The sequence below is a fragment of the Homo sapiens genome, chromosome 16 (assembly GCF_000001405.40).
Source record: "Homo sapiens chromosome 16, GRCh38.p14 Primary Assembly".
Lineage (NCBI taxonomy): Eukaryota > Metazoa > Chordata > Mammalia > Primates > Hominidae > Homo > Homo sapiens.
Genome location: NC_000016.10, coordinates 73,993,620 through 74,008,955, shown reverse-complemented (window position 1 = coordinate 74,008,955; position 15,336 = coordinate 73,993,620). Strand labels below are relative to the sequence as shown.

The window sequence follows — 15,336 nt, the reverse complement described above, 5'->3', positions numbered from 1 at the left end:
CTGCAGTGGTATGATCATTGTGATTAGTTCCTAAATAATCTGAGAATTTCTATTAGGAGGTCTAAAAAAGTGTTCAAATTGCTGAAGGTTTTTGTTTTGTTCTATTTGGTTTTGCTTATGCTTAAGTGTTCATTATACTGTGGACAGAAAATGAAAAATACTTCCTGTGTAATTTTTACTGTTTGGAATTTAGTCAGTATTTCTTTTTAGGTAATATAGCAAACTAATGTTAAATTCCATGGTTATTAAAATGTTTGATTTGTGTGAAGGTATTATTACATTTTGACTAATGTGTCAGATTTATACCCTGGTGTTTCTTATGTTTATTAATTTTTCCTTCTTTTAAATTTATTTTTCTATTTCAGGGCAATGTTTTTCCATGTATAAGTGTTAATGACTATTATAGCATTATATATATTGTACCTTTTGTGAACATAATACTTTCTTTATTCATTGAATACTTTTGGCCTTGTTTTTTTGCTTTTACTGACATAGGAACTATTACTCTCTTTTGGTCTATGTTGGTCTGCCATATCTTTTTCTATCCTTCTACTTTTCAACTTTTCTGTGTCACTTTTTTAAGTGCTTAGGTAAATTGTATTTTTTCTTTAAATGTAATCTAGGAATTTTTGTCTGAGTGTTTAACTTATTTATATGTATTATTATGATAGATAGCTTAATCTATATTACTTTGATTTCTTTTGGAGCTTTTTAGAATATATTTTCACTGTTTCCTACCTTTTGAATCATGACTTATATACTCATTTTAATTTTCATCAGCATTTTTTTGAGGTGGAGTTTCAGAATATATTCTATATATTTTCTATAAGTGGTGACCATGCTTTTTCCCAAAGCATTTATTACTGTATATATATTTTTAATTTTCAAAGCTGACCAAAATAATAGCTTAAACAAAACAGTAGTTGGCAGCATTCTCTGGGTTAATGAGTAAGGAAAGAAACCTTTTTCCATCTTGACTCTTGCCAGTTACTGTAGGAGCCAGCCAGAAAAAACTACACCTATTCCTGCAGCTGAGAATTGAGGCAGAAAACAATTTGAGATTTTGTGCAGACTTGTATATAGGACTTATTACGCCTTTTAACATATAACAATATACTATTTTAAGACCATAACGTATCTGCTCCCAGAATTGCCATCCTATGTTACTTTGTTTGCTGTAATTGAGTAAAAGTGTAATGTACCTAGAAAAGATTCAGGGAAGAAAAATGAAAATAATTAAAAGCAGTTGAGAAACTTCAATATAAAGGCAAACTTTAAAATAATAGGTTGGTAGTTCCACTCACAGAACAGAACTCTGGATCGAAGAAAGCTGCATTATATACATTTTTAATTGTTTATAACATAATGAATTCCCTTTTTAAAACACTGTTAATTTATATATATAGAAGAATCATTACATGCATCTCTTTGACTCCTATAAAAATTGGATATAGCTATTATTGCTCCTTCAACCAGAGAGATGAAGATGAGCTGAGATCATTTTCTTATTGTGTTTTTGCTTTGAATCAGGCCCTGGCTAAATACTTGACTTGGCTTTAGAAATAATAGAAATTATTCATATTTTCACCAAAACTATGCCCATCCCATCCTTTGAGTTGAATTCACTTCATACAGTTTTGAAATTGTTTTTCTTAAATGCTCAAAGCCCACATTTCTGTTTTGGAGATAGTATGAAATAGCACAAAATGAAGATACAGAAAAAGAGAAAATTGAAAAGAACTACTGAAAAGCAAGTAAGAAATGAAGAACTGATTAGTTAGTGGTAGGTCAGTTGAACAGTTCAGTGTGGCTTGTGGGAACCATATGGGGTGATTGTCACTTTACTAGGATCTTTCAATAAACCAAATAAGTGATATGGCTTACCTTCTGGTGTTGGTAAGCAAAAATGTCTGATACCAGAATGCACGTGCATTTCAGGACCATAATATATCATGATATTTTGCATATAGGTGATGACCCAGTGAAAGGTTCTGTACTTTATTGTTTTCAACTCTGAAAAGGATATTTTGTAAGAGGTCATCAAAAATAAAATGTTTAATATATTATGTCAAGAATTTTTGTTAATAGTCCAATATTTGTAGCTATAGGGCAATATTACTAAATAGATGTTTTGTGTTGTTAAGTGGTATAAATAAAGTTCTTATTCCCTAATACCAGTAGGTGAAGATCATCTGATAAATGGCTCTTCAAAGTATATCTTAAATCAGAAATGACCTAAGAAATTCCGATTGTTGGTAAATTAATTTAAAAAGAACTTAATGGAAAGGGGCTTCAAGATGGCTGAGTAGAGCCGCCTGGCATTTGCCTCCTCCACAAAAAAGGACCAAAACAGTGAGTAGATCATCACACATCAATTAGAACATCTAAGAGAGAACACTGGAATTTAGCAGGGAAGTGACAGTGAAGAAATGAGGCGCAGAAGGAAGTGAGGTAGCCAGCCTGGCTGGGATAGACTAGGAGCCAGGAGAAGCTCTGCAGTACAGCGAAAGGATAAGTGAGAGATCATCAGCTGTCCATATTCTCACTGCAGACTTCTGCAATCCTAGCTGTGGGAGAGCCCCTCGGCCCTTGAGGATCCCGAGGCTAGTAGAGGGAGCTGCCTGATGCCCATGTGAGAGCATCATTCCAGAGGGAGAGTTTGTTCCAAGTCCCACACCCACCCTGAGACCAAAGCAGCTATAGCATGTTGCCTTTTGAGAGTCCAGCCCATACTAGACCACATCCTGTTCTGTGGCCCAACAGCCCCTGTATCTCCATATCTCTGAATCCCTGCTGACATCCCCACTGTACCTACCCAGAGTGCTACAGCATCATGATACCAGGTAGACCCCATGGTGTGGCTGGGTCCCCAGCATTCTGGCCCATACAATGCCTTACAGCCGATAAAACAGGAGTGAAGCTCACAGGGGACACGGCCCCTTGGATAAAGGTGGCCAAAGGCAGCTACCTGCCTGGGGCTGCTCTACTGACAGAACCCATCCCACCCTCGGCCGCAGGGCAGCTGCACACCTGCACATGCCTTCAGTGGGCCTGGAGACTGGTCTGATGAATACTGTTCCAAGGCTGAGGAGAGGCCCACACTGCACACTATTACTGGTACCTGAGCATGCCAGCTGGGGGCCTTGGAATTGACTCACCCTGGCTGCTGCTCCTAATCCATGCATCCACTATCAGCAGGCCCAGCCCACGTGCTGCCAGTGCCTGAGCATGCTAGCCACAGGCCTGGAGATTCGGCCATCTTGCTTGCTGCTTCGGGCATACACACACCACATCAGGGGCATGGATAGCAGGCCTACCCTGCCTGCCACTGGTACCTGAGGATGCCATCTGCGGACATGGGTATTGACCTGCCTTGCTTTCCACTTCTGATATGTGATCTCACCACTGGGGAGCCTAATGAAGATCCAGCCTGCCTGCCACCAGCATCCAAGAATAGTGTCCAGGGGCCTGAGGATTGCCCTATCTTGCCCACCACAGCCTGTGCTAATGTACACCATCAGGGCGGGATGGGGTGGGGCTGAGGATAGGTCTTCCCTTATTGGTACCGCCCTTGCCAGTGACCAAGTGAGCCATTTAGGAACCTTGGGATTGACTTGCCCTGCCTGCTACTTCTGGTGTATGCATGTGTCATCATCACATGTCTGACAACAGGCCCAGTCTGCTTGCTTCTGGTACCCAAATGTACCATCCAGGGGTCTGGGGATCAACCTGCCACCATTGGTGCCTGCACATTCCTCCCAGGGGCCTGTGGATGGGCCCACCTAGCCTGCCACTACCACCACTCCCAGCATCCACCCACCCACCCACACCACTTCGGAGTTTGGGGACTGCCCTACCCAGCCTGCCCATGCCACTGCTAGAGCCCACATGTGCCCCTGGAAGCCTGAGGGTTGGCTTGACAACACTACTGCCATTACCCATGCCACATACACTGCTCAAGGGCCCAAGGACACACCCACCTGCCATGACCCACCACTGCTACTGTCAGCACCCAAGCAGGCCACTTGGAGGCCCAAGAATCAGCCCACCTAGACCTGCTGATCTTAATGCCTGTGTATGCCACCTGGGGCCAAAGGATGGGTATGGTCAGCCCACCACTGCCACCAATGGGGCCTGAAAACTGTCCTACCTGGCATCTCCATTCTCAGCAAAGCCTCACCACGGCCTCCACTAACAGCTACAAACCTGAGCAACTGAAAAACTCAGAGATATCAGTGCTGCTGATTGCAGCAGGAGAAATCATATGGATACTACACTACTACATGCACCCAGAATCAAAGTGGGAATTCCCTACCTAGCCAACACTGTCGATAAATTGATAGGAAAAAAGTCTTTTCCTATGTGAGCCAATCCAAAATACTGGAAGAAGCAACTATTACACTAGATGTACATGTATTAATGTAAAGACAGAAGAAATGTGAAGAAGAAAGGAAACATGACATCTCCAAAGGAAAGAAAAACTTCTCCAACAGATTCCAATGAAAAATCTATGAAATGCCTGAATAATTCAAAATAATGATTTAAGAAAACTCATATATAACACAGATTAACAATACAAAGAAATCAGAAAAAAATCATGATCTGAATGAAAAGTGCAACAAAGAGATAGATATCATAAAAAATCAAACAGAAATCCTAAAACTGAAGAATTCAATGAACTAAATAAAAATACAGTCAGACTTCAGCAGTAGACTACACCAAGCAGAAGAAAGAATGTACAGACTTGAAGACAGGTCTTTTGAAATAACCCAGTCAAACAAACAAAAGCCTATATGACATGGGATGCCATAAATCAACCAACTGTTTGAATTTTGAGTGTTCCAAAAGGAGAAAGGTGAAAGCATAGAAAATTGATTTAATTAAATACTAGCTGAAAATTTCTCAAGTCTTGCAAGAAATATAGACATCCAGATACAGGATGCTCAAAGATCCCTAAATAGATTCCACCCAAAAAAGTCTTCTCCAAGGCACACTATAGTCAAACTGTCAAAAGTCACGACAAAGAGAAAATTCTATAAATGGTAAGAGTAAAGCATCAAGTCACATGTAAGAGAGCCCTCATCAGACAATGGGTTTCTCAGTAGAAACCTTACAGCCCAGGAGAGAATGGGATGATATAGTATAAGTGCTGAAAGGAAAAAACCAAAAAAACAAAAAACAAACTCCGTCAATCAAGAATACTGTACCCAGCAAAGCTATCCTTCAAAAATGATGGAGAAATAAAATCATTTTCAAATAAGCAAAAACTGAGAAAATTCATCACCACCAGACCAGCCCTACCAGTAATGCTTAAGGGAGTCCTACATCTGTAAGTGAAAGGACAACACCTACCATCATGAAAACACATGGAAGTGTAAAACTTGTTGGGTGTGGTGGCTCACACCTGTAATCCCAGCACTTTGGGAGGCTGAAGCAAAAGGATCACTTGAGGCCAGGAGTTTGACACCAGAATGGCCAACATGGCAAAATCCCGTCTCTACTAAGAATACAAAAATTAGCCAGGCATGGTGGCAAACACCTGTAATCCCAGCTAGTTGGGTGGCTGAGGTACAAGAATCACTTTAACCTGGGAGGCGGAGGTTGCAGTGAGCTGAGATTGCACCACTGCACTCCAGCCTGGGCAACAGAGTGAGACTCCGTTTCAAAAAAAATTATAAACTCACTGGTAGAGCAGACACACAAATGACAGAAAGGACTCAAATGTTAATGCTGCAGAAAACCAACTAAACCAAAATGATAAGAAAAAGGATATATAAAGCAATTAAAAAAATAACAAAATGACAGAAATAAGTTCTCACCTACCAGTAATGGACTTGAATGTAAATGGATTAAATTCCCCACTTAAAAGATACAGATTGGCCATATGGGTTAAAAACCATAATCTATTTATATGTTGCCTACAAGAAACTTTCTTCACCCGTAAAGACACGTAAGACTGAATGTTGAAGGGATGGAAAAAGATGTACTACACAAACAGAAACCAAAAGAGAGCAGGAGTAGCTATACTTATATAAGATAAAGCAGACTTTACATCAAAACCAGTAAAGAAAGGCAAAGTCATTAAAATGAAGGGATCAATTCAGCAAGAAGATATAACAACTGTAAATAAATATTCATCCTGCCCTGGAGCTACAGATATATAAAGCAAATATCATTAGATCTACAGAAAGAGATTGACTTCTCTACATTTGTAGTTGGTTACTGCACCCTACTTTGAGCACTGGATAGATATTCTAGACAGAAAATCAACAAACATCAGACTTAAACTGCAGTGTAGACCAAATGGATCTAAGAGACATTTATAGAACATTTAATCCAACAGCTGCAGAATACATATTCTTATCAGCACATGGAACAGTCTCCAGGATAGAACATATGTTAGACCACTAAACAAGTCAAAAAATAAAAAAAAGAAATCAAATATGTTCTCAGACCACAATGGAATAAAACTATAAATCAATAACAAAAGGAACTTGGGAAACTGTAAAAATACATGAATAGTAAACAGTATGCTCCTGAATGTGACCATTGGATCAATGAAGAAATTAAGAAGGAAATAAAAATGCCTTGAAACAATTAAAAATGGAAACACAAAATAGCCAAACCTGTGAGATAAAGAAAAAAAAATACTAAGAATGCTCATAGCAATAAATGCCTGTATCAAAAAAGTAGGAAGATTGCAAATAAAAAACCTAATCATGTACCTTGAGAAACTAGAAAAGCAAGAATAAACCAAACCCAAAATTAGAAGGAAAGAAATAATAAAAATCAGAGCAGGCCTGAAATTTTCTTAGAAACTTAAAAAGAATTATTATAACAAAATGAACAGTTGGTTTTCTTAAAAAATAAAATTATAAATTACTAGCTAGATTAACCAGGAAAAAGAGAGAAGACCCAAATCAGAAATGAAATGAAAAAAGAGACATTACAACTGATACCTCAGAAATGCAAAAGATCATCAGACACTATTATAAGTTACAATATGCTAACAAACTGGAAAACCTAGAAGAAATAGATAAATTCCTGGACACATAACATCTACCAAGACTGAACCATAAAGAAATAGAAAACCTAATCAGAACAATAATGAATAATGAGATTAAATCAGTAATTTAAAAAAACCTCCCAATAAATAAAAGCCCAGGACCAGATGGCTTTACTGTCTAGTTCTACCAAAGTTATCAAGAACTAACACCAATTCTTCTCAAACTAGTCCAAAAAATTTAAAATGAGGGAATTCTTCCTAACTTGTTCTGCAAGGCCAGCATTACACTGATAACAAAACCAGAGAGGGACACAACCACAACAACTAAAAACTAGAGGACAATATCCCTTATGAATATAGATGCAAAATTCCTCAGCAAAATGCTGGCAAACTGAATCCAACAACATACTAAAAAGATAATATACCATGGTCAAGTGGGATTCATCCAGGGATGCAAGGATAGTTCAATATATGTAAATCAATAAATGTGATACATCAACAGAGTGAAGGACAAAAACCACAAGATGATCTCAACATATATGGAAAAAGCATTTCATAAAATTTAGCATCCCTTCATGGTAAAAACTGTCAACAAGTTAGGCGTGGAAGAAATATACCTCAACTTAATAAAGGCCATAAATGACAAACCCATGGCTAACATTCTGAATGGGTAAAAGCTGAAACCCTTTCCTCTATGAGTTCATAGAGGAAAAAGGCAAGGATGCCCACTTTCACCACTTCTATTCCACATAGTACTAGAAGTTCTAGCCAGAATAATCAGGCAAAAGAAAGAAAACATGCAAATTGAAAAAGAGGAGGTCAAATTGTCCCTCTTTACAGATGATATGATCCTACCTATAGAAAGACCTAGACACCATCAAAATATTGTTAGAACTAATACATTCAGTAAAGTTGCAGGATACAACATCAAAGTATGAAAGTTGGTAGCGTTTGTACCAATAATGAACAGCCAAAAAATGTAACCAATAATGAACAGCCAAAAAATCCAGAAGGCAATCCCATTTACAATAGCTACAAAAAAATAAAATATCTAAGAATAAATGTCACCATGAAGATGAAAGGCCATTACAAGGAAAACTACAAAACACTGATGAAAGAAATGGAAGAGAACATAGACAAATGAAAAAACATCCCATATTCATGGATCAGAAAACTTAACGTTATTAAAATGACCATAAAACAAAGCAATCTACTGATTAAATGCAATCCTTAGCAAAATACCAATGACTTTCTTCACAGATATAGAAAAGACAATTACAGAATTAATATGGAATCGCAAGAGCCCAAAAGAGCCCAAACAGCTAAAGCAGTACTGAACAAAAAGAACAAAGCTAGAGGTGTCACACTACCTGACTACAAAATAGACTACAAACTATAGCAACCAAAACAGACAGACACAAAGGCCAGTGGAACAGCACAGGGAACCCAGAAACAAATCCAATTGAATTTATAGCCAACTGAGTTTTGACAAAGGTACCAAGAACATACATTGGGGAAAGGAAACGCCCTTCCATAAATGATGCTGGGAAAACTGGAAATCAATATGCAGAAGAATGAACTAGATCCCTGTTTCTCACCATAGACAAAAGTTAACTCAAAATGAATTAAAGACTTAAATGTAAGACTCAAAACTATAAAACTACTAGAGGAAAATTTAGGGGAAATGCTCTAGGGCATTTGTCTAGGCAAAGATTTTATGGCTAAGATCCCAAAAGCATAGGCAATAAAAACTTAAATAGACAAATGGGACTATATTACACTAAAAAGCTTCTGCACAGCAAAGGAAATAATCAACAGAATGAAGAAATAACCTGTTGAATGGGAGAAAATATTTGCAAAAATATTCATCTGGCAAGAGACTAATATTTAGAATATACAATTAACTCAAAAGCAAAATCCCAAATAATCTCATTAAAAAGTGGGCAAAGGATTTAAATGGACATATCTCAAAAGAAGACATACAAATAGCCAAGTATATAGAAAAATACTCAACATCACTAATCATCAGGGAAATGCAAGTCAAAACCACAATGAGATAATCCTCTCACTCCAATTAGAATAGCTGTTATTAGAAAGACAAAAACTGGCAAGGATGTGGAGAAAAGGGAACTCTTATACACTGTTGGTGGGAATGTAAATTATTATGGAAAATAAAATAGCTCTAAAAATGGAGCTCCATACATTTCAGTAATCCTACTACTGGGTATTTATCCAAAGGAAAGAAAATCAGTGAACCAAAGGGATACTTGCACCCCATGTTCATTGCAGGACTATTCACAATAGCCAAGATATGAAATCAACCTAAATGTCTATCAGCAGATGAGTGAATAAAGAAAATGTGGTATATCTGCACAATGGAATACTATTCGGCCATAAAAAGTATGAAATCCTGTCATTTGCAGCAACATGGCTGTAATTGGAAGTCATTACGTTATGTAAAATAAGTGAGGCACAGAAAAATAAATAACATGTTCTCATTCGTGTCTGAGCTAAAGTTGATCTCATGAAGGTAGAGAGTAGAATGATAGCAGGGGCTGGGAAGGGTGTGTGTGGGGTCGGGGGTGGGAGATAAACAGAGGTTGTTTAATGGGTACAAGCATAAGATTACATAGAAGAAATAAGTCTAGTGTTTGATAGCCCAGTTGAGTCACTATAGTTAATATATATCTTAAAATTAACAATGTATATTTAAAATAGATCTACAAGAGGAGGTCTGAAATATTCACACCACACAGAAATGGTAAATGTTCACGATGATGAATATCCTAAATACTCTCATTTGATCATTATACATATTTTATGCATGTGTTGAAATATCACATGCATCCCATAAATATGTACAAATATGTATTAAAATTTTAAGGCATCATTTTAATTAAAACACAATTATATGCAATATTTTAATATTACTGTGATGAAAACCATTTATAAAGCCTGCTCAGCATTAATTTTTCATATTTTAGATACAAGCATAGAAGCCAAATTTGGAACTACTAGAGCCTCTTGGGAATGTAGCCCAATGGGAGGAAAGCAGACATATGGAAGAGAGTTTTAGGATATTTATGCTTCTTCACAAACAACACATGTTTCCAGATTTAAAAAGGTCTGAGTATGTCTGTGTATTTTTTTTGGCGTCCTCAACATTTCTCTAGCAATTGATGAGTTACATAATTTCCTTCTCTAGTTTTCTATTCGAAAGGGTATAGCATGAAGATGGGATGTTGGTTCTCAGATATTCATATTGTCAGTCTGTGAAGGAAACAATCACATAGCAGACAGCTTTGATACTCATTCTCACTTTCTGACTATCTGTATGTAAGGACCTATGTATGTTATATGGTGGCTGGCCATGGTGTTTGCAATAAATACACTGTGTTTATTGTTGTTAGTCATAAGTCAAGCCAATCATTTCCACAGAGCTCAAACAATAACTATTAAGTGGCCCATATGATTTTTTAAAATGAATTGTGATTTTTCTGAGAAGCAGAAAATACTCTGGGTAGCAAGGGATACCTGTTTCTGAAAAAAAGTTGGGAGACAAGGGAGGGTATTCAAGCATCAAAATGAATGTGGATTTGAAGTAAATGAAAAAAGGGAAAACCGAAATGACTGCAAGTGTTTTGAATGTCTGAGAGCATGCGCCCTTAATTTTTGTTCCATTGTTTGTGACATAGCACGTGATGTCACTCAGTACTGGTTTCTGGAGGAGCACCTCAGTGTATCCAATGCTAACTAGAGTGTGATGGACTGTGCCAAAAGCTTAAAGAGAAACACATGATCCCTGCATTGTTCCAGTATCTAATTAGATACTGAGTAGTGGAAGAATGTTGAATATTAAGAGCAAGAAAAAAAATCTGGCATGTCTTTGGTTGAAATTCAATCCCCTCGTTTCCCCCCTACATTTTCTGCAGCAGTCTGAAATTTTTTCAATCACTTTTTTTTAAGGATACAGTGAATTTTATCACAATTTTGTCAATCAAAACCACATGTGCTTGCTCCGTTGATGACAGAGAATAACAAAATCCTATTTGTTAAGACCAAAACTCAGGTAGTAAATAACTGGGATGCAATGTGAAATCTCATGTTCTTTAAAAAGAAACAATGTTGCCTAAAAATTTGGAGAGTAAAATGAACTTTTTGAAGGGGAAATCATACGAAGTTACACTGGTGGCTCAGTAACTTCTCCCCCTATCAGACCAAATCTATTTTTGTCCCAAAACCATCACACTCAGCAAGCATCCTCCTTCAAACTACCCAGCACAAGAAGAAGAATGCTCTTGAAGTCCATGCAAACTTAGTGATGTAGACTAAACTTTCCAAGTGTGGATTACAGTCATGACCATGTTACAGAGCAGGGACCAGCAAACTACTGACTACGGGCCAAATTTGGACCAGTGCCTATTTTTGTGAATAAAGTTTTATTGGAACACAGCCATGCCCCTTCATTGACATGTCATCTATAGTTGTTTTCATGAAACGATTGCAGAATGCGGTGGTTGCAAAAGAGACTGAGGGGCCCACAGTTTCTTTGTTATCTTAACTTTTACAGACATAGTTTACTAACTCCTCTTTTAGATGATCAAGATTATTCAGACAAAATGCAATCATAATAACTGGCCCTTGGGAAACAAGGATTAAGAAGAATTGTGGTAACTTAAGAAACATTTCCTTCTGATTCTTGGGCCACGGCATTGTTTTGATTTTAGTGGTATAAGGAAGACTAATCCTGTGTACGTGACAAAGGTCATCGGCAGTCACTCAAAGACCTCTATTCTATATTACTGAAATTATTTGCTCTTGGAGTTGGCTTTGGCCAGCAGCCAGGACTTCTCTGTCTAGCCTCTTAGCCACATCCTAGTTCTGAAAGGGCCTGGCTACAACGTAAATGCATAGTAGCTGCTTTAAAGAGGGTGGAAGCTTCAAGTTCCTCCTTTGACATCATCATTGTGGAATGGTTTGTCCTAGCAGTCATATTCCAGGATAGTTAAGGACTAATCATAGCCTTGCTTTTGGAAAGTGATGAATGTTTGGATGTCATTTTGTCTGTTTTTATTTTTAGCTTTGGAACCCGGTTGATTTTCAGAATGCTATCAATTTTAGTACGATTGCGCAAACAGAACCAAAGAAATGTAATCGTATCTTGAACAAGATCTTTGATCACTTAATTGATGAATTAAAGACTCTCAAAGGCTGTGCACCAGGTGGAATGCTTCAGATGTACCGGTAATTTTAGAAGTGCTTTGTTATTAGTTCCTTATTTCCAGCCGTCCTGCAAAAGGTATTTCGAAATGTATATTAAAGTCAAAACCAAGCTGCCTCTCTTCCCCAACAGCTACAGAGCTCCAGGGAACTTTTCTAGGAAGTCAATGTCAGGATTTGGAAAGGTTAATACATCTCTAGGTGATAGGAACCAGGTTGTGTCCATTTGAACTGAAAGAATGAAAGGAGGAGGAGGACAAAAATGAGACACTAGAAAAAGTACAGCCTCCATAACCAGAGAAAATAACCATGAAATGTATAAGGCCTGTGGACCTTTGCCTAAAAGAAATCAGGCTGGGGGCAGTTAAGAATTTTAATGATAATATGAAAGGTCTCTACTGTGATTAGATATTTTCAGGTGATGAATACTCCCCTGCCATCTACCACATCATTGTTGGTGAGTGTGGAGATGGTAATAATTTCAGCAGACTGGTTTGATTTTGTGTTTTGCTTATCTCACAAAGCTGAGATGGCAAGTCGATTTCTCAGCAGCCTCTTCCAGCTCTAGCTTGTTTCCATATCTGAATCAGAGAACCCCTGTCACTCAGAAAATAAGCTGAATCTGTGTTTCCAGCCTGGATACTGGGGACTCTTGGTGCCTTTGTGCTTTGCAGCACGGAGAAAGAAGGGGAAACATGGATGGGATGAGCCATCCATGTGTTTTGGAGGCAGATCATAGAAACAGAGTTCTTCATTGTACACATACCCATGGCTAAGATATTGAAATACTTTATTCATATCTTAAAGTTTAATTGAGGACATTTCACCTGACTTCAGCGAGGCAGCATAAAGAGTGCTGATTTTTGAGCCAGAGACTTGTGTTGGTGCTGGTATTTTATTCAGAATCCTTCTTTAATTTGTGATTTGCTGTTATCTTAGTCCATTGGGGCTGCTATAACAAAATGCCATAAACTGGGTAGCTTCTAAACCATGGAGGCTTATTTCTTAGGGTTCTGGAAGCTGAGGATCCAAGATCAAGGCAGATTTGGTGTCTAGTGAGGGTCTGCTTCCTCATAGGTGGTGCCATCCTGCTCTGTCCTCACCTGGTAGAAAGGGTGAGGGGTTTCTATCAGGCCTCTTTTATGAGGGCACTAATTCCATTCATGAGGGCTCCCCCTTATGACCTAATCACCTCCCAGAGACCCCACCTCCTGACTTCATCCTCTTGGAGGTTAGGATTTCAACATATGAGTTTGACAGGGACACAGACATTGAGACTATAGTAGCTGTATACGTGAATGGTCACATCTATCAATGGCAGAGACAGACAGCTACAGACCTTATTAGATCATTTGTTTAGGTTCATGAAGTGGACTATTCTGATCCTGGAGAAGAGAAAAGAATTAGGTAAATGTGGCATGCCTAGACCTCTCTGAAATAGAATACACCTGCAAATTTGAGTTTAGTATGGGAGACCACATTTTAAGTTGTATATTTCAAATTAGCGTATGTCCAGGATGGTGAGAGGACTTGAAACCAACTCTTCCTCCAGTGACGTTCTGAATATTTATCATCCACCAAACACTACCAACCACTGAAAATACAGTGGTAAAAGACAAATATGAAAACTACCCTCATGGAGCTTACAGTCTAAAGGAGAAAATGAAATCGTTAAACAAGCACACACACAAGCTATCTATCTAGCTAATGAAAACTCATGACGGAGCTGTGATATACAGGTGGGGTGAATGGGTCCTAATTTAGACTGTGTCAGAGGCAATATCTAGAAGGAAATAATATTTAAACTGAGGGCGGAAGGATGGGAAAAATAGGTTGAAGAGCATTCTGGAAGAGTGTAACAGTCCTAAGATGGGAAGAAATTTGGCATGCCCTAGTGGCAGGCTGCTGTCACTCTAATGCAATAAAGGAGGGGAGAAGGGAGACTGAGGTAGCATCACAGAGGAAGGCTTGGGTCATACCACTCAAGGTTTGAAGTGGAGGTTGAAATTTACTCAGTGTCATGGGAAGCCACTGAGGGTTTTCAAGCAAGGCAGTGACATGATCTGCTAGACATTTTAGAAAGACTGTTCTTGGCTCTCACATGAAGAATGGCTGAAGAAAGGTGAGCCAGGAATGGGGGTGATTAAGAGACTACATGAGCCCAGGCTGGAAATGGTCATGGTAGCTGAGATGAAGAAATACATGTGAATTCATATATACTGAAAAGAAAAATTGGCAGCTTCTGTGTTAAAATGCAGGTAGGGTGTGGGATGGCAAGGAATCAAGCATGACTTTCAGGTGACTGTCCCTTGATACAATGGGGAAGGACACATCTGAGTGGGGTAGGGTAGGGGAAATCATGAGGTATAACTGGAGGAAGTGGAGATGTTTCATCTGGGGAAGTAAAAACTCCAGGAAGACGTGCTTTATCATCATCTTTCAGTCAATTGTTAACTCTTTGGTCAGTCACAGATTCTTTTAGACCTTCTCTATAAAAACAGGCTCACATATGTAATATTGAATAGCATTTTCAGAGCTTCATGGACCATCTGAAACTGATCCATGGGTTGTTTGTGAACCCCAACTTAAGAACCCCTGTTTAAAATATGTGAAGTGCTGTCTCATAGTAAGAAATTGGCCTAGAGTCAGTATTGCACAATCTGGATTAAAGTCTCTGAAATTTGCTGAGGCTCAGGTTCCCACTTGGGTAGATGAGAAGAATGATGCCTGCTTATCAGTTTAAATAGCTGGTCCAAGGTTTAAATGAGATAGTACTATATCTTAATTACTCTGGCCCTGTAACTACTAATATTATTGATAAATGAACCCACGTGGATATAGCCTGGATACAGCTTAAAGAGGGACTTTTGGCCAGGCGCACTGGCTCAAGCCTGTAATCCCAGCACTTTGGGAGGCCAAGGTGGGTAGATCACGAGGTCAGGAGATCGAGACCATCCTGGCTAACATGGTGAAACCTCGTCTCTGATAAAAATACAAAAAATTAGCTGGGCATGGTGGCACATGCCTATAGTCCCAGCTATTTGGGAGGGTGAGGCAGGAGAATCCACTTGAATCCGGGAGGTGGAGGTTGCAATGAGCCGAGATTGTGC

The 15,336-nt window shown here is 38.6% G+C and overlaps 1 long non-coding RNA gene across 1 annotated transcript, besides 1 other annotated feature; it reads left to right on the top strand.

Annotated features, from left to right (window-relative positions):
- The first annotated feature begins 2,183 nt into the window (after positions 1-2,183).
- Positions 2,184-12,338, top strand: LOC107984856 (uncharacterized). The gene is made up of 3 exons (XR_001752251.1): positions 2,184-2,352; positions 9,991-10,130; positions 12,087-12,338. It is a non-coding gene; the product is annotated as an uncharacterized LOC107984856 (long non-coding RNA).
- Positions 11,772-12,066: a silencer, noted in NCBI's record as "tiled region #11065; HepG2 Repressive DNase matched - State 8:EnhW". NCBI's record gives its function as "represses a minimal TATA promoter and a strong SV40 promoter by Sharpr-MPRA in HepG2 cells {active_cell/tissue: HepG2}" and the evidence as "EXISTENCE:reporter gene assay evidence [ECO:0000049][PMID:27701403]".
- Positions 12,339-15,336: the final 2,998 nt, after the last annotated feature.